Below are 25,663 nucleotides of genomic sequence, written 5' to 3' on the forward strand. Positions count from 1 at the left end.
GGCAGATTTTCTTCTGTCCTCTTTCCTAAATAGTATTTTTTTCAATATTGAAGGTATTATTTCCAGTATATGCAACTTTATGTCTTGTTTTTTAAAAAATGTTCACATATCATAAGCTTGTTCCCATAAATGTTAGCAAAAACTCCTGGTAATCATTTTCAACAACCGCATTATATTTTATCCAATGAATACACCATGCTTTATTTAACCATTCCTCTAATGTGAGACAAATATAAGTTGTTAATAACTTTTTGCTATTCTAAAAAATGCTATGATGATATTTGCCTGCAAATTATGGAGTAATTACAGAGTATTCTCCCCTCAGATAAATTCCTAAAAGGGAAATCACTGGAATAAAAAATATAAAGTATATGGGCAATAATCCCAATTTAAACCACGGTATCTCTTTTGTCTACATGACTTTCTAAGCACATTCAGAAACCCTACATGTAGGGGAGCCCAGATTAGTCATATGGGCCCACTCCCTAGCAAGGCATCAATAGCCCTTCACTTCCATGGTATCCTAAGTGCATCACTGAAAGTGGAAGTAGGGTGAGATTTAACAGGTCACGTAGGCCGTTTCCTATAAGCAGGATGTCCTAAAGAGCTTTTCCGATTGCACACTGGATTTGTTAAAAAGGGGAAGAGATTTATAGAGCCAAATAATTTGTCATCATTGACAGTAATGTCTTGTCAGATTTTGTGCTGACAAAGATTTATGAATCTATCAACTAGTAAAATTTTCCCTCCTTGCTAGTGAGCATGATCTAGAACATTAGTTTCTCTTCAGCTTTCTTTAGCTTTAGCCTAGTGATCTTTCATTTGACAAGTATCCACAAATTATACTTATTTCTGGCTAGAAAGGGCTCCCAGGAGCCTTGGTGTGTGCGGCATATTTTGGGATCTAAATAAGAAACTAGGTCTAGAATTGGTAGTTTCCCCAGTCCTCCATAGCACAACAAGACAGAAAAGTCAGTTACCGTTACTAACTTATCCAAAGGGAATGCTTTAAAAAATAGTAAAGGAAATTTCCAACTATCAAGAGCCATAAAAATGCAAAAACCACTACAATTCCTCATGTGACTTAAGGAACTCCTTTGACTCTGTTGTTTTTACCTCTCTATCAGATTCTTAATGTCTTTACCATTCAAATAATATTTGGTTGATTAAAAACTGCCTGAGGCAAACATTTTTAGGTATGGAGTTAAAATTATTTCTGAAGCAACATTTTCAAAATTTAAAAATTGCTCTGGCCAGACAGTGACAATAGAAGAATGTGAAGTGCAAAGAGTGGCCACTGAGATGTGCTCTTAGGTACCCAAAATGGAAACATTTCAATCCTTTCTGTAACTTTTCTGATCACTCTGCCTATTAAAGGCAGCAGCTATAGCCCTGGGACACATTTGAACTAAGTAACTGTGGTTACCAAATGCTGCAACTTCAATAATATTTAACAGAGAGATGCTTATTGATATGTCATGGCCAGACACAGTTTTGTTTCAAGGTTCACTTATTAATATTTTTGAAATTTAATGCCTGCTATAGTTTGGACATGGTTTATTTGTCTCCATCAAAATGCATGTTGAAATCTGATTCCCAATGTGGCGTTGTTAGGAGGTGGGGCCTAGCAGGAGGTGTTTGGGTCATAGGGGTGAAACTCTTGTAAATGGTTGGTGCCATTCTTGCAGTAGTTGAGTTCTCCTTCTGAGAACTTAGTTTCCAAGAGAGCGGGCTGTTAGAAAGCGAGGATCTTCCTCCTGTTTGGTCCTCCCTCTTGCCTGTGTCTGTTCTCCTTTGATCTTCTCTGCCATGTTATGATGCAGCACAGAAGCCTTTGCCAGAAGCCAGGACCATGTCCTTGAACTTCCCAGGCTGCCGAACAGTAAGCTAAATAAACCTCTTTTCTTTACAAGTTACCAGCCTCACGTACTCTGTTATAGCAACACAAAATGGACAAAGACAATGCCCCAATACAATGAACTCCAGAAGTTGGAAAATGAAAAAGCTCAAGCAAACATGTCAATATATTAGGTGCCATAGAGGATGCCAATGAAGGTTTTTCTGGTTGTTTTTAAATTGTCTAAAACAGAAATGGCATAATAGTTACACTGGTGGAAATTTCTCATATAAAAACCACCATTTTATGGTGGCCCTAAATACTTACCCTTTCCTGGGATGTTTGATAGCGAAGGTGAAGGGCTGTGGGATCCCAATCCACAGCGATATAGGCATTTCCAATGAAAGCTCTGTCTTCCCCACAATCAATTTTACAGCCTCTGCAAAATCTAAAAAGGGGGAAAAGATCCACAGAGGAAGAAATAATTATGAAGGAATCTAAATTTTCTTAATAAAAAATATTCTCCCTTCCTACTTTTCTGCTTTCCTCTTGGGCCTCACAATTTGTCATGGGCTTCTAACTTCAGACTCTGATAAATGTAGGGATACTTATTAATAATTAGTACAGTTTCAGGGAATCATGCTTTTCATTTTTCAAGTCTTTATTTTTACAAAGTACTTGATAACCACCTGTTAATCACAGGAAGATGTGAACTTTATGGCAAATAAATGACATGGGAATTGCCTGTTTGAGATACTACAGCACTCAAGAAATTCCAAATTCAGTTATTGAATGCTCTGAGGTAGGACAATTTATCTGGTGTAACACCTAGCTCCTTGTCTGTAAAATGGCAGATTAAATAAATGCATATAAAAGTTTACAGGGGCCGGGCATGGTGGCTCATGCCTGTAATCCCAGCACTTTGGGAGGCCGAGGTGGGTGGATCACCTGAGGTCAGGAGGTCGAGACCAGTCTGACCAACATGGTGAAACCCTGTCTCTACTAAAACTACAAAAATTAGCCAGGCATGGTGGCAGGCACCTATAATCCCAGCTACTTGGGAGGCTGAGGTGGGAGAATTGCTTGAACCTGGGAGGTGGAGGTTGCAGTGAGCCGAGGTTGCACCACTGCACTGCAGCCTGGGTGACAGAGTGAGACTCTGTTTAAAAAAAAAAAAAAAAAAAAAAAAAAGTTTATAGAGTTGCAGAGGTGGGGTGGGAGATGGGGTAGGGGGGAGGATATAATAAAGTCATGGTTCCAATGCCTACTTTATTATTATTATTATTTTTCTTGAGATGGAGCCTTGCTCTGTCGCCCAGGCTGGAGTGCAGTGGTGCGATCTGAGCTCACTGCAAGCTCCGCCTCCCGGGTTCAAGCAATTCTCCAGCCTCAGCCTTCCAAGTAGCTGGGACTACAGGTGCCCGCCACCATGCCTGGCTAATTTTTTGTATTTTTAGTAGAGATGGGGTTTCACCGTGTTAGCTAGGATGGTCTCAATCTCCTGACCTCTTGATCTGCCCGCCTCCACCTCCCAAAGTGCTGGGATTACACGCGTGAGCCACCACGCCTGGCCAATGCCTACTTTAGACTCAGTTTGCTAAGTCTATTGCAGTTCTCTAAAGGCGGACTTTAGTATCATTAGGCACTTTCCCTGTTGTAACAGCAATGACCAATCAATCTCCGTAACTCTTTAAAAACCAAGAACAGATTTCCAGCAAGGTCTAGTAAAGACTATGGTCTACTGTGCTTAGAACTGGCAAACTTATATTTAACGAGAGGCTTGGCGTGGTGGCTCACACCTATAATCCCAGCACTTTGGGAGGCTGAGGTGGGTGGATCACCTGAGGTCAGGAGTTTGAGACCAGCCTAACATGGCAAAACCCCATTTCTACTAAAAATACAAAAATTAGCTGGGTACAGTGGTGTGCACCTGTAGTCCCGGCTACTCGGGAGGCTGAGGCAGGAGAATTGCTTGAACCTGGGAGGCAGAGGTTGCAGTGAGCTGAGATTGAGCCACTGCACCCCAGCCTGGGTGACAGAGCGAGACTCCATCTCAAAACAAAACAAAACAACACAAAAAAGGAGAGGTGAAGTTATAGAGTAATAAATGTTTATCACAAGCTATGAATTTGGTATGGACTGTAGTTTATAAAACCAGCTAAATCTCAAAAGCAAAACTTATCTATTGACCTCAAAAGGAAGTGAAAAATATTTTTTGAGACGGAGTTTCGCTCTTGTTGCCCGGCTGGAGTGCAGTGGCATGACCTTGGCTCACTGGAACCGCTGCCTCCTGGGTTCAAGCGATTCTCCTGCCTCAGTCTCCCAAGTAGCTGGGATTACAGGCACGCATCACCACGCCCCGCTAATTTTTGTATGTTTAGTAGAGACGAGGTTTTACTAGGTTAGGCTGGTCTCCTGATCTCAGGTGATCCACCCACCTCGGCTTCCCAAAGTGATGGGAATACAGGCGTGAGCCACCGTGCCCAGCCACAATTCTTAAGTTTCTCATTATTCACTATTTACTTCTCAAAACTGGAAATCTTATGAAAACTGTATAATATCTAAAGCTGAAATTCTACTAAAGTAATTCTTTTGCAGGTCACTTTACCTATACCATGGGCACCAAGCACAGGAGTTCCCATCTTTCTGCACAACTCGTAGAGTGAATGGATATTGATAGCCCATACTGTCGTCACTGAAACAGAAGAGAACAAAAAGAGTGTAAGAAGCATTTCTGGTTCGAGGTCCAACTCCTCTTCATCTTCTCTTGAAGTAACCCTAGGAAGGGGCATTTGCCATAGCAGTACGCTCATGTTGACAGCTCAATGTTACTTACCCTAATCCATTAGCTGCAGCCCAGTACCAAATACACTCTGGCTTCCCATCCTCTATCTGGGCTTACAGAAGGGTAGACATAAGACTGCCAGATGTCTCTAAGGGAGTCCATGTGGCCCATGAAAATTTTATAAGATAAGCTAATCATGAAATCAAATACTAATTATCCTTCAGCCTTAATTCTATCAGAGGATTTAATTCACATTAAACTAAAATAATTAGATCTTTCCATGACAAGAACACCGACACATTGCAGAAAGCTGTATATTTAGAAGTCTTCTTTAATCAGAATCGCTGATGTGGTACATGCTAAGTACTGCCTTAACTACTCAGAGTTATAAGCTACATACCATTTTTGGAGTAACTGCTTTTAACTGCCAATGATTATGTCAAGATGGCCCTGTGAATTTTCCAACTTTTAAAAAAATTTACTCATCCTTGCCCTAACAAGGAGCAATGCAACAATTTATACATATTATCAAAACATAAGCTGTACACCTTAGATGTATATACAATTCCTTGAACCTGGGAGGCAGAGGTTGCAGTGAGCTGAGTTCAATAAAGCTGGGGGTGGGGGAGAAGGAAGCAATGCGAGGAATATAACATAAGAGTGGCATACTTTACAGCTCATCTGGCAACTGACAGTGGTTATTACATGGGCTATTGAAGGTAATGAAACCATGATAAAGAGTCACTGTAAGGGCAAAGGTGAGAATCACATCTGGCATAGGAGTTCCCATCTTTCTGCATAACTCGTCCAGTGAATGATCATTGATAGCCTGTACTGTCTAGTACCATGTCCAAATCAGGCCAGCAATAAGTGAGGAATCAAAAGAAAGATAACGGGATAAAACAGTCAAGTAGCACTCATAGAAAGCTGTGCAGCACTTCCCTTCTGAAAATTTCTTTTACCTTTTTGCTCTAACTGAATGAAGCCTGGCTTTCTTGAGAATCCTGCTCCCCCTGCAGACTTTTTCCATTTTTTTTTTTGAGACAGGGTATCACTCTGTTGCCCAGGCTGGAGTGCAGTGGCGCAATTATGGCTCACAGCAGCCTCCACCTTTCTGGGCTCAGGTGATCCTCCCACATCAGCCTCCCAAGTAGCTAGGATTACAGGCACGCAACACCATACCTGGCTAATTTTTACATTTTTTGTAAAGACAGTATTTCACCATGTTGTCCAGCCTGGTCTTAAACTCCTGGGCTCAAGTGATCCTCCTGCCTCAGCCTCCTAAAGTGCTGGGATTACAGGCGTGAGTCACCGCACCCTACCCCCTGCACTTTGTATTCTCATACGTTCCAGAACCTGGAGGTAAAATAGATCTCTTCCTTACTCCTATGCCACTTGTGCATGATTTCTTCTTCCTTCCTTTTCTAAAACATTCCAGCTTCTTTGTAGCATGTGCTACTGAATTATGCTACCTGCTATTCCTCCTTGGAAGGTACATATCTTCTTTACTCACTAAAGATTGCAGCACCCAGTTCACTGTGTTTTTTCTCCACCATTTCTCCTGTTATTATTCTTGGTGACATCAACATCAATGCAATTAATATAACAGTAACTTGGTCTTCTCTTTTCCAACAATAAGTTCCTCCACCCCATATGTAAACCCTCTCCAAATGTCATATTCTAGACCTTGTGAATACAAACTTTTCTACCTCCAAAATCTCAATTCCAAGTATCCTACTTTGCAACCACCACCTCCTATCTTTTTGGGTTACTTACTTATTCGAACATCCCTATTCTAATGATTCTTTCACCCAAGAGAAACCTCCAATCACTGCCCTGAAATCCTCACTTGCCTCTTTACCCACTGTCCCTGAAAATAATCACTCTTCTCCATAGACCCTTAATTCCAGGATTTTGTCCATTTAATCTAAAATTTCAAATTTATTGACATAAACACTCAAGAAGTCGAGAACTATACAATGAACATCCCATGTATTCATTACCCAACTATAAAAGTCATCAACTCCAGGCCACTCTTATTTCATCCATAACTTTACCAAGTACCACTAGAATCAGGTGAGAGCTACCATGCCTGGCTATCTTTTTTAATGTCCGAAGGACATAACCCACTCCAATCTCTACTCCCTTATCTATACTAAAATAGCTTTCACAAAGATCACCAAAGACCATTTTATCAAATCCAGCGGGCAATTCCCAGTCCTCTGTAGCATTTGAAACGACTATCACTCCTTTCCTGAAATACTTCCTTCACTTAACTCCTGGTTTTCTTCTTACACTATGGGCTGCTCCTTCTCAATCTTACTCTCTCTCTTTTGAGACAGAGTCTTGCTCTGTCGCCCAGGCTGGAGTACAGTGGTGTGATCTCAGCTCACTGCAACTTCCACCTACAGGGTTGAAGCAATTCTCAGGCCTCAGCCACCCAAGTAGCTGGGATTACAGGCACGTACCACCATGCCCGGCTAATTTTTGCATTTTTAGTAGAGACGGGGTTTTGCCATGTTGGGCAGGTTGGTCTTGAACTCCTGGCCTCAAGTGATTCTCCCACCTTGGCCTCCCGAAGTGCTGGGATTACAGGCATGAGCCACTGCACCCAGCCTCAATCTCTTTTGATGCTTCTTTTTCCCTTTTCAATCTCTAAATGTCGGAATGCGTATGAACTCAGTTCAGAGTTCATGTATAGATGATGGGAATCTTCTCTATTTAACTCTCACTCTCTAAATGTTAATCATCTGGTCTCAGGGCTTTAAATACACCTTTTTGTTGATGACATCTGTATCTCCAGCAGAGGACATTCAAGTGAATTTCCCACTTGAATATATCATAGACTTCTTGAATTTAACTTGATTCCTGTCTTTTCTTGCCAAAATCTGCTCCTTCTCCAGTTTTCCTTCTTCCATTAAATGGTACCACCATTCACAAACAATTGTTCAGGGTAAAAAGCCGGCCTGGGCCGGGTGCAGCAGCTCACGCCTGTAATCCCACCACTTTGGGAGGCTGAGGTGGGATCATGAGGTTAGGAGATCGAGACCATCCTGGCCAACATGGTGAAACCCTGTCTCTACTAAAAATACAAAAATTAGCCGAGTGTGGTGGCATGCACCTGTACTCCCAGCTACTTGGGAGGCTGAGGCAGAAGAATTGCTTGAACCTGGGAGGCAGAGGTGCAGTGAGCCGAGATCATGCCACTGCACTCCAGCCTGGTGACAGAGCAAGATTCTATCCCCACGCCAAAAAAAGAAAAAAAAAAAAGAAGTCAGCCTGGATTCCTCTTTCCCTATACTCCACATCCAATTCATTAGCAAGTCCTGGGAAAAGCCCTCGTCTAGAAGCTCTTTAATTCAATTACTTCACTTCAAATTTAATCTTGTCCAACTTTCATCTTTACTAAACACAACATTCATTAACTAAACTGCTTATCTATTATTTGCAGTTTTCCTTTAGGATTTATTTAAATCTTAAAATAAATACTTTAAACAATTATTTATTTAAATAACTTATTTTGGCCGGGCACGATGGCTCATGCCTGTAATCCCAGCACTTTGGGAGCCTGAGGCAGGCAGATCACTTGAGGTCAGGAGTTTGAGACCAGCCTGGCCGACATGGTGAAACCCTGTCTGTACTAAAAATACAAAAATTAGCCAGGCATGGTGGCGGGCACCTGTAATCCCAGCTACTCAGGAGGCTGAGGCAGGAGAATCGCTTGAACCCAGGAGGTGGAGGTTGCGTTGAGCCGAGATTGCACCACTGCACTCCAGCCTGGGTGACAGAGCGAGACTCTGTGTCAAAAAAATACAAAATAAAAATAAATAAATAACTTATTTAAGTAAAGATTTATTTAAATCTTTAAATTTAAATCTGGCCAGGTGTGGTGGCTCACACCTGTAATACCAGTACTTTGAGAGGCCGAGGTAGGTGGATTACTTGAGGCCAGGAGTTCGAGACCAGCCTGGCCAACATGGTGAAACCCTGTCTCTACTAAAAATACAAAAATTAGCTGGGTGTGGTTACGAGCATCTGTAATCCCAGCTACTCAGGTGTCTGAGGCATGAGAATCACTTGAACCTGGAGGTGGAGTTTGCAGTGAACAAAAATCACACCACTGTACTCCAGCCTGGGTGACAAATTAAGAATCTGTCTCAAAAAAAAAAAAGATGTATTTATCCTAAGCCCTACCCTAATCATCAAAATACCCCATATCATAACAAATAAGTAAAGAACTTTTTTTAGTTACCATAAAACAGAACTCTCATTTGTACCATGATGGCAAGAAAATGATCTACAGGCCGGGTGTGGTGGCTCACGCCTGTAATCCCAGCACTTTGGGAGGCTGAGGCAGGTGGATCACCTGAGGTTGGAAGTTTGAGAACAGCCTGACCAACATGAAGAAACCCCATCTCTACCAAAAAAGCAAAATTAGCCAGGCATGGTGGTGCATGCCTGTAATCCCAGCTACTGGGGAGGCTGAGGCAGGAGATTTTTTTGAACCCAGGAGGTGGAGGCTGCAGTAAGCCAGGATCGTGCCATTGCACTCCAATCCGGGCAACAAGAGCAAAACTCTGCTGTAAAGGGAAAAAAAGAAAAGAAAAGAAAAATGATCTACAATTTGATTGAGATAAAAATAAGACATCATCAAAATCCCAAAAATTATTCAGAGTAAATGCATTTACTAATCAAATAGAACAGTGATAGGAAAAAGGGAAAGAAAACAGAAAATGTTAATTATTTTTATCTAGATTTATGAAATTACTTCACGTTAAAATGACATGGTAAGGGAAAAAGAAAAAAGAATGACATGGTATGGAAATAATCCAACAGAATTATTTTTTGTATCATGAGACTTTTCAGAGTTCACGTATGCAGTCACTCTCATTCTGAATTTCAGAGGACTGAGATTATACAAATTTCCTGGTGAATTCATACTCTCTACTTTTGCAACACAGAAGACAGGATATTACTTGAAGCATTAGCAGGATGAATCCAGGTAAAAGATTAGAGAATGGAAGGATTATTTGACACTAGAATGTTTGGCAAAAGGAAGCTGTATCATCTCTCCTACTCCAAATATCAAACCAAATGGTTGAATTGTATGCTGTCTGAGTGGTTCTTCCAAGAGTGATTAACTTGACATAGGCTGGGTCCTATCAGTCATGTAGAATTCATATAGATTATTTTTCTAGAGTTTGGAAACCACAGGTTTAGATGGATCCCCTGAACTCACCAATCCTGGGCATGATTACTAGCTTCCTGAGGTGGGAGTGGGCTCGCTAACCGGGATACTTGAATCCAAACCGCATCATATAGGTCTTTCTTCCGGGTATGCACAGTACATGGAACAATCAATGGCATTCCAAAGAGGCTGGGGCGATTCTTCTGAGATGACAGGAAATACAGTTCTGTCCTCATCTGTATGTACAAACAAGAGAATAGAGAGTTCAGAAGACAGGCCTCTGATTCCTCCCTTTAGTTCTTCTAAATGCCTGCCAATGACAGGCACTATCACCATTTCAAATCAGTCACTATCACATTCTTCTCTGTATTTATAAAACCATCTTTATTGACACAAAGAGAACGGTTACAGTGGAGTCATTAAAGGGGCTGAGGTATTGCCAGTTTTAGAGTTGTTGCCTATTCTATCAAATTTGGGTTTCAGCAATTAATATATTCAAACCAGTTTTCTCTGATAAACATTTCTCACATACACTGACTCACATGTAAAAACTAGTAATAGCTTCATAGCTAAGGGCTTTTAAACAATTAAGGCTCTTTCTTTCTCCAGAAAATATGCCAGTAAGCTGGGTGTGGTGGCTCACGCCTGTAATCCCAGCACTTTGGAAGGCTGAGGCAAGAGGATCCCTTGAGCCCAGGAGTTTGAGATCAGAATGGGCAATGTAGGGAGACCCTATCTCTATAAAGAAATAAATACAATTAGCTGGGCATGGTGGCATGTGTCTGTAGTCCCAGCTATACAGGAGGCTGAGGTGGGAGGATTGCCTGAGTCTGGCAAGTTGAGGGTACAGTGAGCTGTGATCGTGCCACTGCACTCCAGCCTGGAAGGTAGAGTGAGACCTGTCTCAAAAAAAAAAAGAAATGAAAAGATGCCAGTGGAAAAAAAAAAAAAAGACTCTCTCAACTATAGTTTTCTAGGGATAAGCTGTTGATAGTGGTTGTTGGAGTGGCAATTTCCAAAGTTTTGGAGATTTGTGAAACCTAGTAATTCTATTTTATAACAAGCTTATCCACCTTCCTAAAAGCAGTTAAGTGATTTTAATCTTTTTTTTTGTTTTTTAAATACAGGATAGGATAAAAGTAAGGTAAAATTTTTAAAATTTGCTTTGAGTACGTTAAAGAGATATTTACGATATTCCTTAATATAGAGATACTGCACAGAATTATCCTGGAAATGGCTGTTAAATAAACATTTAGTATAATGGAATGGTTGGTGGGAGTTCAAGGTTATCTAAAGCTGCTGAACCTTTGAACATTTAATTCCCTAAGAAGTTTGGTATTTATTGAGTAGTTAGAAAAGCTAAATCAACAACTTATCAACTCACTAGGGGTTAAGTTAGCTAGTTTCTAAGTAAAAAGACCCTTTATTCAGATTATTAAGCATTTTATTTTGCCATTTTCATTTAAGCTTAAATACATAATTTTAAGCCTCTATTTCATATGTTACTATTATTATAAGATCCAGAGAAATCCAGACAGAGTTCAGTACAAATATTTTATAAAATTTTAAAACGTAGCTAAACCCACACAATTTTCATCCTCTCATTAAGGAACTTCTCCTAGTGCCCTAGGGCCCATACTTTCTCAGTTACTACTGAGATAAATTCTACTCCTAGTTATTAACATGGTTAGAAACTTCAAGCCAGGGCCAGGTGCAGTGGCTCATGCCTGTAATCCCAGCACTTCAGGAGGCCGAGGCGGGCGGATCATGAGGTCAGGAGTTCGAGACCAGCCTGGCCAATATGGTGAAACCCTGTCTCTACTAAAAACACAAAAATTATCTGGGCATGGTGGCAGGCACCTGTAGTCCCAGCTACTCGGGAGGCTGAGGCAGGAGAATCACTTGAACGCAGGAGGCATAGAGTACAGTGAGCCGAGATCGTGCCATTGCACTCCAGCCTGGCCGACAACAGCAAGACTCTGTCTCAACCAAAAAAAAAAGAAAGAAATTTTAAGCCAAGGGCTACTAATGCAGAGAAAAATAAAAATCAGAGGTAAAAGGGTACATTTCTGGCTGGATGTGGTGGCTCACACCTGTAATTCCAGCACTTTGGGAGGCCAAGGTGGGTGGATCACCTGAGGTCGGGAGTTCGAGACAGCCTGACCAACATAGAGAAACTCTGTCTCTACTAAAAATACAAAATTAGCCAGGCGTGGTGCCGCATGCCTGTAATCCCAGCTACTCAGGAGGCTGAGGCAGGAGAATCACTTGAACACAGGAGGCGGAGGTTGCAGTGAGTTGAGGGCCTGCCACTGCACTCCAGCCTGGGCAACAAGAGTGAAACTCCATTGCAAAAAAAAAAAAAAAGTACATTTCAAATAATTATCACAAAGCAACTAGCTTTCCATTATCACTGAGTTTAAGAAACAGAATATAGCGAACACTCAAAAGCCTCCCATTTGCTTCCTCCAAATCACAAATTCTCCCTTCCTCACAAAGGTAACTATTATTCTAAATGTTACAGTAATCACTTTCTTGCTTTTCTTTACAGTTTTATATCCTATGCACAAGTAAATAAACACTAGATTTCATTTTCCCTGTTTTAAAAGTTTTTATATTTATAAATAGAATTACTTAATTCATTTTTGTTTGTTTGTTTTTTGTTTTTTGAAACAGGGTCTAGCTCTGTCATCCAGGCTGGAGCGTAGTGGTGTGATCTCAGCTCACTGCAACCTCCACCTTCTGGGCTTGAGAGATTCTCTTGCCTCAGCCTCCCAAGTAGCTGGGACTACAGGTGTGTGGCACACGCTGGCTAATTTCTGTATTTTCTGTAGAGATGGGGTTTCACCATGTTGCCCAGGCTGGTCTTAAACTCCTGGGCTCAAGCAATCGGCCCACCTCAGCCTCCCAAAATGCTGAGATTACAGGTGTGAGCCACCGTGCCTAGCCTAATTCTTTTGTGTTTGGCTTCTTTCCATCAACATTAGGTTTACGAGATTCATTTATACTCTATATAACTACAAATCCATTCATTTTCATTCCTGTATAATGTTCCATTATCTTAATATATCTCAGCTTCCCAATCCCTTCTACAACTAATGGACATGCAATGTTTTCATTTTGGGGCTACTATAGATAATGGTGCTACGAATATTCTTGTACATATCTCCTGGTACACATATCTCTTGGGTGGATACCTACAGGTAGAACTGCTTATCTTTAACTAGAAAATTGTATTCCAAAGTAGTTGTTTATAGTATTTAATTTATAATTAAAATTATTTATAATTAAATATAAAGTTAATTTATATTCTCATCAGCATGGTATGAGAGTTCCTGTTGCTCTACTTAGCAACCCTGTCAGTCTGTTTAATTTTACCTGTTCAGGTGAGTGCACTGATATCATAATATTGTTTTAATTTACATTTCACTGATTACTAGTGTCGTTGATCATTTTTTTTTTTTTTTTGAGACGGAGTCTCGCTCTGTTGCCCAGGCTGGAATGCAATGGCATGATCTCGGCCCATTGCAACCTCTGCCTCTGGGGTTCAAGTGATTCTCCTGCCTCAGCCTCCCGAGTAGCTGGGACTACATGTGCCCACCATCACGCCCAGTTAATTTTTGTATTTTTAGTAGAGATGGAGTTTCACCATATTGGCCAGGCTGGTCTTGAACTCCTGACCTTGTGATCCATCCGTCTCGGCCTCTCAAAGTGCTGGGATTATAGGCGTGAGCCACCGCACCCAGCCAAGTTATCAATTTTAATGAAGTCCAATTTAATCTTTTCTTTTATATGAGTAGCGTCAGGAATGTATTTACCAGTATTATCTTCCAAGGGCTGTTTCATTGTTTTGCTTTCAAATTTAGCTCTATAGAACACCTGGAATTGTGGTGAAAGGTAGGTGCCAAGTTTCATATGGATATCTAATTGTCCCAGCACCACTTGCTGAGAAAACTATCTTTCTCTCACCACTCTGCAATGTTATCTTTGTTATAAATCAGGTGTTCATACATTTGTGAACTGGTTTCTGGGCTCTCTATTCTATCCCAATGGTCTACTTGTCTTTTCTTGTACCAATATGACATTATTTTAAATATCATATCTTTGTGAAATAAATCTTGATATCTGGATGATATCCAATCTTGATGATATCCTCATATCTTACTCTTCTTCAAGAGTATCTTGGTTATTCCTGGTGCTTTGTATTTCCACATATGAGAATCAGCTTATCAAATCACACACACACACACACACACACACACACACACACGCAGACTTTGCATTTGTATTGGGATTGTGCATTAAGTCATCCGTAGATTAGTTTGTAGAGAACTGATATCTTAAAATATTGAGTCTTCTAATCCATGAACATGGTTTACTCCTTCCAATATTTCAGTCTTCTTTAATTTCTATCAATATTTTATTTTCTATATAGATGTCTTATGTGTCATTTTTAAAGTTTATTCCTAGGTACTTAATTTTTTCTCAGCATTTAATTTTTTTGATACTAAGATAAATAATATCTGTAGTTGAGTTGAATGGTGGCCTCTAAAACAGTATATCCATATATCCATGTTCTAACCCCTGGAACCAGTAAATGTGACCTAATTTGGTAAAAGGATGTTTGTAGATGTAATTAAGTTGAGGATGTCAAGATGAGATCATCCTGGATTGTCTGGGTGGGCCCTAAATTCAATAAGTATCCTTATCAGAGAAAGACAGAGAGAAGGAGAAGGCTATATGAAGAGGCAGGGATTGCAGTTATGCAGTCACAAGCCAAAGAATGCCTGGAGCCACCAGAGGTTAGAAGAGACAAGAAAGCATTCTCTCCTAGAACCTTTGGAGGAAGCCCCCACCCTACAGAAACCTTAGTTTCAGACTTCTGGCCTCCAGAAGGTGAAAGAATAAATTTCTGGGCCGGGTGCAGTGGCTCATACCTGTAAACCCAGCACTTTGGGAGGCCGAGGCAGGCAGATCACGAGGTCAGATCAAGACCATCCTGGCCAACATGGTGAAACCCCATCTCTACTAAAAATACAAAAATTAGCCAGGCATGGTGGCGTGCACCTGTAGTATCAGCTACTTGGGAGGCTGAGGCAGGAGAATTGCTTGAACCCAGGAGGCGGAGGCTGCAGTGAGTGGAGATCACGCCACTGCACTCCAGCCTGGGCGACAGAGCGAGACTGTCAAAAAAAAAAAAAAAAAAAAAAAAAGAATATATTTCTGTTGTTTAAAGCCACCAAATTTGTGGTAATTTGTTATAACAGTCCTAAGAAACCAATACAGTACCTTTTTTACAATTTCGTTTTCTCTTGTTGCTGCTATACAATCAATTTACTTGATCTAGAAGCCTTGCTTTCCTTTATTTTATTTATTTATTTATTTAAGACGGAGTTTTGCTCTTGTCGCCCAGGCTGGAGTGCAATGGCACGATCTCGGCTCACTGCAACCTCCGCCTCCCAGGTTCAAGCGATTCTCCTGCCTCAGCCTCCTGAGTAGCTAGGACTACCGGCGTGTGCCACCATGCCTGGCTGATTGTTGTATTTTTAATAGAGACGGGGTTTCACCATCTTGGCCAGGCTGGTCTCGAACTCCTGACCTCACGATCCACCCGCTTCGGCCTCCCAAAGTGCTGGGATTACAGGCATGAGCCACTGTGCCCGGCCTTTCCTTTACTTTATAAAATTAAGACACTAAAGTCCAAAGAGCTCAATCAGCTATCTAGTGGCAGAATTAGAACTAAAACATAGGTTGCTAAATTCCTAGTTCAGTGCCCTTTCTACTCTACCAAGTTGCCACTATACCCGAAGACTACCTCTTTAACAATTATCCACTGACCAGTTTTCAAACCTTCCTTTTTCTTTTTTACCAAAGAGTCAACCTTTAATGCAATAGTTATATATTAGACTGTCAAGAGAGGAATTACGCACAACTTGATTTTCCTCAAGAACATTCTTGTATCCTCTAAGAAAAAAAACAAAACAAAACAAAAAAACCAACCCCAAAACAAAAAACTTTTCCGAAGCCATCCGCATTTACGTGGCAGTGAAGATATACATACCTACACAAACACACAGGAAACATAAATTTTGTGTGTGTTGGTTTTTGTTTTTTTCTAATTTTTTTAGAGACAAGGTCTCACTTATTGCCCAGGTTGGAGTGGAGTGGTTATTTACAGGTGTGAGCATCATAGCATATTATAGCTTCAAAATCCTGTCCTAAAGGGATCCTCCTAAACATGCCTGGCTTAGGAGATACTTTTTTTTTTTTTTTTTTTTGAGACAAAGTCTCACTTTATCACCCAGGCTGGAGTGCTGTGGCGCAATCTTCGCTCACTGCAACCTCTGCCTCCTGGGTTCAAGCAATTCTCCTGCCTCAGCATCTCGAGTAGCTGAAGCTACAGGCGCATGCCACCATGCCCAGCTAATTTTTTTATTTTTAGTAGAGATGGGGTTTCACCACATTGGCCAGGCTGTTCTCAAACTCCTGACTTCAGGTGATCCCCCTGCTTCAGCCTCCCAAAGTGCTGGGAGTATAGATGTGAGCCACCGCACCTGGCCATTTTCTTTCTTTCTTTCTTTTCTTTTTCAGACAGGGTCTTGCCCAGCCTGGAATGTGTGGGGCAAGCAAGCATGGCTCACTGCAGCTTTGACCTCCTAGTCTCAAGTGATCCTCCTGCCTCAGCCTCCAGAGTAGTTGAGACTATAGGCACACACCATCATGGCTGCTTAGTTAAAAAAAAGAAGTCTTTTTTTTTTTTTTTTAGAAGAGACGAGGTCTCACTATGTTGCCCAGGCTAGCCTTGAACTCCTGAGCTAAGGTGATCCTCCTGCTTCAGCCTCCCAAAGTGTTGGGATTACAGGTGTGAGCCACTGCACCCGGCCAGGAGACACAAATTTCTAAAGAAAGTAGTACTCAGATGCACTGACTATCCTGTTGCCTCTTAATATACGGATAAGGAATGTCATTTCATACATTAGCCACCATGAGTAATACTAAATCCTGGCTCTGATCACTTATATTAGCATATATAATACATTGAAAATGCATTCACAGCAACAGATTTTGAGGACAGGATAAAAAAGTAAAAAAATAAAATTTGTAAAATTATTAAATTTTAAAAAATTAAAGAAAAGAAGAGAAGAAAATACATTCAATGATGTTGCAAAGACAGAAAATGACTATTTCACAAATGACACTAGCAAGACTGGCAGTGAGTTGCCTAACATTTAACTAACCATTTTTCGGTGGACTGCAATGATGTAACCTGTAAAGGGGCTGTCAGGAAGAGATGGCATGTGACCATTAACCATTCCATTTGTGAAGTTCTTCTCAGTTCCACATGGCACAACAGTGTTTGGCATTCCATTGGGGATGAATATTGGTCGGGGTAGGTCCCCATTGGTAGTTAGGGTGAACATTTCATTTGTAGATGGCGAAGAGGAGAAATCTACAAATTCAAAGATAAGTACAGTATCATAAGCTTGTGGTATTTTCATCTTTGCTCTTTTCTCAAGTATCCTGAGGACCAGAGACAGTGTAGTCTCTTAACACAGGGCAGGGAGAAATCACAGTATAAATAATTCTAGATTTATTGGAAGATTTTAATTTTCCAGTTTTACTTCCCTAACTCACACTTTTGGCCAAATGAAAAGGAAAGAGTAACTGCTGGAAACTATTAAGCAGAATTTTTGCAGAAACCTGTATCAGCACCATGTTGTAGCACACAAACAGTTCTACCACTTGTTTTCTTTTCCTTCTCTTTGCCTTTGAAGACACTGTCCAATACAGTAACCTCTACCCAGATGTTGCATTTAAAATTTAAATTAGGCTGGATGAGGCAGCTCACATTTGTAATCCTAGCACTTTGGGAGGCTGAGGTAGCAGATCCCTTGAACCCAGGAGCTAGTGACCAGCCTAGGCAACATGGTGAAAACCCATCTCTACAAAAGATACACCATAGCTGGGCATGGTGGTACACGTTTGTAGTCCCAGCTACTTGGGAAGCTGAGGTGGGAGGATTGCTTCAGCCCATAAGGCAGAGTCTGCAGTGAGCCAAGATGATGCCACTGCACTCCAGGCTGGGTGACAGAGTGAGACCATTTCTCAAAATAAATAAATTAAATTAAATAAAAATTAAAAATGCATTATTCTCACTCACACTAACCACATCTCAAGCGCTTAACAGTCCACGTGACTGGTGGATACTGTATTGGATGGCAAAGATCACAGAAGTTTCCACCACTGCAGAATTCTATTGGACAGTGATGCTCTAAACTAAAACTAAAATTAGAACATCCACCAACTCACCGTCAGGACTATCTACCTACTACACATCAATGAGGGGAGCCTCATAAAGCCCTTTATAGTTGGGGAATTAGCCTAATTAACCTAATTGTAAGTAATATAAAGAATAGACAAAGCATACTAGTGGCTAAAAGGACTCAGTGAGTGACCACATTAAATTACATATAATATTGGATTTCTTTCTAGCTATATCTATTGTTTATATTTTCTGGTAGTATGTTCCTCTCATACTAGCTGTTGCCATGTTATATTAGATACAAGTTCAAAGAGATCTGAATTCCAAGGGTATATTAGCTAACGACTACCTATCTAACTGAAGTCACTTGGGTTCTCTAAATTTTAGGTTTCTCGTCGAAAAAATATGGAATAATCAGTAAGGTTTCCCTTGGGTTCCAAAATTCTTCTGCTATAATATCCTCAGCATGAACAAATATAAAAAAGATGACAACTCTTAGACAAATATTTAAAGGAGCAATCATGAGAAGGAGTTCTAGTTCTATCTTACCTGTCTGTGTTGGACTAGAAGCTGAAATTGGAGACACAGGGACAGGAATTTCAAATGCACACAAAAATCCACTCACTGAGAGTCGTACTTTTTGGTTGTCCTGAGGAAAGTTCTACAGAAACAGAAGCAAGATGAGAAGGGGGAGATGTTTCAGATAAAATGGAAAAGTTCTCTCTCTAACATATTTCAAAAGAATGTCTTAGGCGCTTTCATCCGTAAAACCAACGAGATGATTGAATAATTTTTCAACTACATAAAGGATGAATGCTTGATAAAAATAACGGAAAACTAACCTCAATTTTCGAACTATTATCTCTTTTCACAGGAAGAAGTGTGTTATATACGACTGACTTCAGTTTTGTCCGTTTCAGGGATCTAAATTCCAACCCTCAGAGACTCCATTTTTGCATTTCATATTAAGAAACTGTCAGTGAGGTGAGAGTGTGTTCAGAAATCCCAAAGATGAATATAAATAATACCAGTTGCAGGAGCTTAATTTAGAGTAGGCAATATATTTATTAGATTATTTGTTTCCCCAGCTGGTATGTAGAAAGACATGATTGGTGTCAATTTGTCTTTACTCTTAATTTCTTAGTGTGTTAAAAGACCAAGTATATATATTCATAAATACTAAAAACACACATTCATAAATACATAAAATACTTTAACCTAGGAAGAATTCTAGTAACAGCGGTAATACAGAAGAGTTGTCAAGGGTAATAGCAGCAGTCTTTGGTAACAGCAGCAGTCTTTGGTGGAAACCTATACTATAGTGACACAGCTAGAACACTCCATATAGGCAGCCTTACGTATTTCCCTTCTTCAAAAATACCACCATCAGTATTATCCCTTTATTCTGGTAGAAAACTCTTAAGTTTCTGGGTTGGAAAACTTGGCATTTTTTGTTGTTGTTGTTCAGTTTTCGTTATGTTTTAGTATCTCTCTTGGTCACATAACCTAACAATTGATCATAATAATTGAGAAAAATGTCATCTTTGGAGGATAGAATCAAAAGTTTCTTAGAGTAGTTAATATTACCTTTATGTTGGAACCATGTACTTCTGCTAGAAGGATTTGTTCTGAATTAAGTCCACAGAGATCACTCAGCTGTTTTTTTAAACCTGTGTACTTTTCATCCATATTCAGTCTTAGTCCATACCGTACAGGGGTAGTACCATCTAACTTAATCACTAGTAAAGAGAAAAGATCTTTTATTGGTAAAATGCAGGTTTCATTGAAAGTCTTAAATGCTGTGTACAGATATATCTGACCTGTAAATATAATAGCAAATATTTCAGCCTAGAATTTTTATTTTATGTGTAAACACTAAAACAGATGGTACTTAGGGATAATATTAAGTGAAATCAGTATTTTTTTGGTGTTCATCTGACATAAAAGTATCAGTGGCTTTGCAGGGTTTTAAAGAGAGTTGCTGGCATATTTGAAACCAAAAAAACATGCCCCAGTCTACATCTTTCAAACCTCAAGTCATGCCTAAAATTAGGTTGCTCAATTATAATATGCTGACTACCGGTCTTTATTTGTAAACAAATAACTATGCTTACAAATTCAGGCTATTTAAATAAAGTAAATTTAATGGAGTCAAGTAATTTTTCAGAACTTTCTGACCTACCTGTTATTTCTAAGTGCATATAACTGTCCATTGGTAGTGGCAAAGACAAAAAATTGAAAGGGTCAAATCGGACACTTATATGCCCACATGTCTTGCATTTTACTTGAGATCTTAGCTGCCCATGGAACAAATCCACAACAATTGATCTATTTCTTCTTAGATGGTTGTCCCAGGCCTAGCAATAAAAAAGATGAGAATTTTCTCTCAAAATCCAAAAGAGAAGCATTTCTATATAAATTCAAAGAAGCTAGTTAAATATATTGGATTTAAATGTAAAGAATATAATCCTTACTCTTCATTTAACATAAAATATTAAATTGAGATGGAAAATCCTATTTTTCATTTGTTCTTATCAAGGTAACAATGGTAAATATTAAAGTTATTTGTCCATTAACAAGTATAAAGCATGCCTATAGGTCACTGTATCCATTACTTTAGCAATTACGGGGACTCTTTAAATTCCACTGGATAATTATTCCTACATCCAGTCCCATAAAGTTTACAATATGAAATGGCAACAGTTTTCTATTTTCATTAAACGTATTTTTGTTTTGGCATTATTGCATAAGAATTAAGCACAGAAATAGAAATTCATTCATTTTTGCAGTAAAGTTCTGATCTCAGAATAGTTGAGTTTGCATTTAAGTTGTGCTACATGTATTTGTGGCCAGAACATTTTGTCTATTGCTTACATTAGAAACTCAAAACTGACAAACCTCTGCAGCTACTTCCCAGTCTGGTCGCCCATCACTGTCCTTCAGTTCCACATATGGCTTTTCATGGACTCGATTAAGATCTTCATGAAGACCATCCAAGAGAAAAGCCAGAAGTTCTTGGGAGTCCTGTTGCTGAAACCCATTAAACCTGGGAGCATATTTTGCTATGGTCCACTATAAATATAAGAGAAGTCACAGTCATTATTTCCTACCCATAAAATTTGGAATGAACATGTCCTATAATCCAATCAGAGCCATTGTAAGAAAATAAATAGTATAGTACTTAGTCTGCCTCTATTTCAACAAATATATTTTGGATAATCATGAAATCTTTTGAATCTTAATGTCAAATGACCCCCCCCAAAAAAAGAGAAGTATTTTGGCCAATACTGTGCAATACTGTGTCCTCAGTTCAGTATTATGTAAGCAAACTGTTCTTCAGGCACACAGATGTTATTTAAGACAGAAACATTAAAACAGCGTTTGCTCACATTGAAAGACATCCTGTTCTATAACGTTTTACATTTTTATATGCATATAAAATATGTATATTTTATAGGTACATAGTATATACATAACATATGCATAAAATAATGTGTATATAATAATACATAACATGTATAAAATAATATGTGTATACATTATTTTATATAATATAATGTTGTCTTCAACAATTACATTTTCTGGTCTTGTTGCATCCTAAATTTTATTAACTGCATTATATTATAGAATTATTTTGAGGATATAAATTAATTAGAATAGTGCCTGGCAAGAGGTAAGTAGTCAAATGTGTAGCTGTTATAGTTAATAATTTGTAATATAAAAAGCTTTTGCTTTGTATTTAAATAAAAATAATGAATAATCCTAACTTCACTAAAATCTACTACATCTGATATTAATATAAAACTTATATTCATTAGTTTCATTCATTCATCCTTCTACTTTTTTTTTTTCTTTTTGGAGACAGAGTCTTACTCTGTTGCCCAGGCTGGAGTACAGTGGTGCGATCTTGGCTCATTGCAAACACCACCTCCCAGGTTCAAGCGTTTCTCGTGCCTCAGCCTCCCAAGTAGCTGGGATTACAAGCATGCACCACTATGCCCGGCTAATTTTTTTTAGTAGAGACAGGGTTTCGCCATCTTGTCCAGGCTGGTCTTGAACTCCTGGCCTCAAGTGATCCACCCACCTCGGCCTCCCAAAGTGCTGAGATTACAGGCGTGAGCCCCTGCGCCCAGCCTACTTCTTTGTATTCTACAGATAGAACTATCTTAGTTACGTTGAAAATGGATTGGATTGGATGTAATTAATAAGACTCTGAGGTCCACCTTGCAGTTAGAATACTGCTAATAGTGAAGTATTACCAAAAAAGGTTTACTCTTCATATAAGATGTTTGACAAATTAGTAAAATGAATGACATCCCGAATTTAGAGTGTACCTTTGGTCTTTATCCTACCCACTACATATACAGTAGTAATTTTGCATATATTTAAACAAGCAAAAGAATTTGACCTTTTGTTTATACCAAGTGAAGGATCCAAAAACATTTATTAAGTTAAAAGGCTAAACACAAAAAACAAGCAGAGAAAAATGATTAAACAACTATTAGGAATTAAATACTTTTATATTATTTTAACCTGCTTACCCGAAGCTTTAATGGGGCAACATTCTTCTGAGTTCCACTCCAAAGTTCCTGCACTAAATCACCATAGCATTTAGCCATATGCCCCTTCATACCAATGGGATTTGTCCTAGAAGTTTGAGAGGAAAATTTGTTGCCAAAGATTCTCATAAATCACAATCATGTGGGCGCAAAAATGCCTAGCATCTCACATCAAAATATCTTTTCTTTTTGAAACAAGAGATGTATTCCTTGGCCTATTTCATATTAAATAGGGCAAATAAGATAAAATCTTTCTCCCACAGGGTGAAAAAAGAGGAAATTTAGGTGATATTGGGTTTATATCAAAGTCACAGGTTAAGAGGCCAGTGACTCCAGAAAGATTACCTGTTGAGTTCATAAAGATGTCTCCCTGAGATAAAATACTGTGTCAGTGGCTGTGTGTTACTAACACACTGGATGCTTGAGTTCATGAAGCATGTGTTTCCCAGATTGCTTAGACCTGTGGCTCCCTTTTCTGTGGGAACTGGAACAAACAATATGAGAACCAAAGCTTAGCTGTAGTAATATGCCATGGCACAAACAGTTACTTATATTCAATGAAAAGGTTTTTTATAACTCTCATAATCAGCTAAATGGTGCTAATAATTCTCTAGCAGGTCTCTGAAATGCTAGAGAAGGCTTTTCATGGAGTGTCTGGCAACAGTGATGATCCATGCTCATTTGTAACCCAGAAGCAGCAATTATTCTTTTTAATTGCTATGATTTTTCAAAATAATTCAAACAATTCTTCTTCTAGTATGTCTTTTAAAACATATAAATTATTTAATTGCAGAGTTAGAAAGAAATTTAGAAAATAATTTGATGGTGGGTTTGCCAACATCAAATGCTGCTTCAGGAAAAAAGAAAAAGAAGAAGGCCCTAATTACTTTTGAACTAGAAAACCAAAAGTTGTTAGCACTTTAACAGTTGAGAGAAGAAAAAAAAAGAATACATTTAAAATAATCTCTTTAAAAAATAATACTGGAGACTTACCCTTGTGTCTATCTATTTTACTACTATTTGCTATAAAAGACATCTCCTCAGGCCAACTCATATCTTTGTTGCGAACTGGAAGGACAGATAGGAATGTGTTAATTTCTTATCTATCTAATTTATACCCATTCGATTGCTTTTTTTTTTTAAAGACATCTTATTCCTAAATCAGAAGTTTTAAAATCTAGTTAATTTTAGTACATACATTGCTTAACGACGAGGTTATATTCTGAGAAATGCATCATTAGGTGATTTTGTCTTTGTGTGAACATCACAGAGTGTACCTACACAAACCTAGGCTATGTATGGTATAGGCTGTCGCTCCTTGGCTACAAACCTGTACAGTATGTTACTGCATTGAATACTGTAGGCAAGTGTAACACAATGGTAAGTATTTGTGTATCTAAACATGTTAGAACATAGAAAAGGCACAACTAAAAATACAGTATTATAATCTTATGGGACCACTGCTGTATACAGGTCTTTTGTTGACAAACATCTTTTTGCAGCACATGCCTGTAATTGGCTCTAAAACCATTCCTACTCTTCATATTGAGGACTTTAAAGTCACTTGGTTTGAATAATCTTATCCCTCAATTACCTACTTGAAGTAAAATTATACTCAACCATCTACAGAAGTAATTAAAGTTCAGAAACAATGGAATTTCTTATACTTAAAACATTAGAAATTACAATTCTTTCTTAAATTGTAACAACTGTCAGAGTAATTTATTCCTTTTTTTTTTTTTGAGACAGTCTGGCTTTGTCCCCCCAGGTTGGAGTGCAGTGATGTGATCTTGAGTCACTGCAACCTCCGCCTCCTGGGCTTGACTGATTCTCGTGCCTCAGCTTCCTGAGTAGCTGGGACTACAGGCACGTGCCACCACACCCAGCTAATTTTTGTATTTTTAGCAGAGACAGATTTCACCATGTTGTCCAGGCTGGTCTGGAACTCCTGACCTCAAGTGATCCACCCATCTCAGCCTCCCAAAGTGCTGGGATTACAGGCGTGAGCCACTGCGCCCGGCCTATTCATTTTAATACAAAGGCAGCTAACAATGTTGCCACAAAACTTGATGGGAAAAGATACACTTAAAAAGTTTTTAATGGCATGTGCATGCCAGTGTGTAAATCTATGAATATACAAATAGCTCTGTCAGTGAGTAGCCAATGTTGGTGACTAATGAAAGCCTGTGCTACTAACTATGCAAGAAAGTTGTTCTTTTTACTCAAACTCAAAGCAGCAACTTGAAAATTTTAAGGAACTATAAATGTGTAAACTGAATTCACTTGTTTTTTATCTACCATTCCCATTCTTTGTCAGTCAATGACTAAAAACAGAATATTTTCCCTTTAAAGCAATCTAAATTGTATGGTAGGATTACATAAGAGTTCAAAGGGTTTTCTTTTTCTTTTTTTTCCAAAGGGTTTCTTTATCATAAAAACATAATAATCAAATAATAGTTGTTTTGGAGAAAATTATAAAATGGGTTATTAGTAACTCTTTAAATTCTTCCCCTTGAAAATTTAATATAGATGCATGCTTCCATCTTGTACCTTCAATTACCAGGTGTTGTTCATCCTGGATTTTCAAATATTCCAATTTATGATCCTCATCATCCAGAAGAGTAAGGTAGTTCTGTGTAAGGAGGAGGAAATGTTTTTGTTATTTGGTTAGTAAACTTGAAACAAATACAGAGATAAAAATGAGTAACAATTAAAAAAACAACTTCTTTGTAGTTATATAACATATCACAAATATCTGGCCTACTATAGTTGTTCATAAATATTTATAACTTAGGTGGCAGTATGACAGAAAGACAATGTGTACTTCATAAGCGTTATCTTTCTCTTTTTTAAAATTTCAATAGGTTTTTGGGGAACAGGTGGTGTTTGGTTACATGAATACGTTTTGTTTTTTGTTTTTTTTTTTTTTAAAGATGGAGTCTGGCTCTGTTGCCCAGGCTGGAGTATAGTGGCACTATCTTGGCTCACTGCAACCTCTGCCTCTGGGTTCAAGCAATTCTCCTGCCTCAGC

The 25,663-nt window shown here is 38.9% G+C and overlaps 1 protein-coding gene across 13 annotated transcripts in view; it reads right to left on the bottom strand.

Moving 5' to 3' along the window:
* The window catches only part of USP32 (ubiquitin specific peptidase 32), a 245,090-nt gene that overhangs the window by 11,072 nt on the left and 208,355 nt on the right, over positions 1-25,663 (bottom strand). For all 13 annotated transcript variants that reach the window (XM_011525372.2, XM_011525371.2, XM_011525376.2 and 10 more), the window contains 12 exons: positions 25,183-25,264; positions 23,626-23,700; positions 22,978-23,116; positions 22,615-22,720; positions 20,972-21,145; positions 20,256-20,430; positions 19,661-19,812; positions 18,623-18,734; positions 17,049-17,260; positions 9,862-10,046; positions 4,446-4,532; positions 2,165-2,285 (listed from right to left, as the gene is read on the bottom strand). In XM_011525372.2, coding sequence (XP_011523674.1) covers positions 2,165-2,285; positions 4,446-4,532; positions 9,862-10,046; positions 17,049-17,260; positions 18,623-18,734; positions 19,661-19,812; positions 20,256-20,430; positions 20,972-21,145; positions 22,615-22,720; positions 22,978-23,116; positions 23,626-23,700; positions 25,183-25,264 — 1,620 coding nt within the window. The remainder of the gene's footprint in view (positions 1-2,164; positions 2,286-4,445; positions 4,533-9,861; positions 10,047-17,048; positions 17,261-18,622; positions 18,735-19,660; positions 19,813-20,255; positions 20,431-20,971; positions 21,146-22,614; positions 22,721-22,977; positions 23,117-23,625; positions 23,701-25,182; positions 25,265-25,663) is intronic.

The sequence above is a fragment of the Homo sapiens genome, chromosome 17 (assembly GCF_000001405.40).
Source record: "Homo sapiens chromosome 17, GRCh38.p14 Primary Assembly".
NCBI classification, from domain to species: Eukaryota; Metazoa; Chordata; class Mammalia; order Primates; family Hominidae; genus Homo; species Homo sapiens.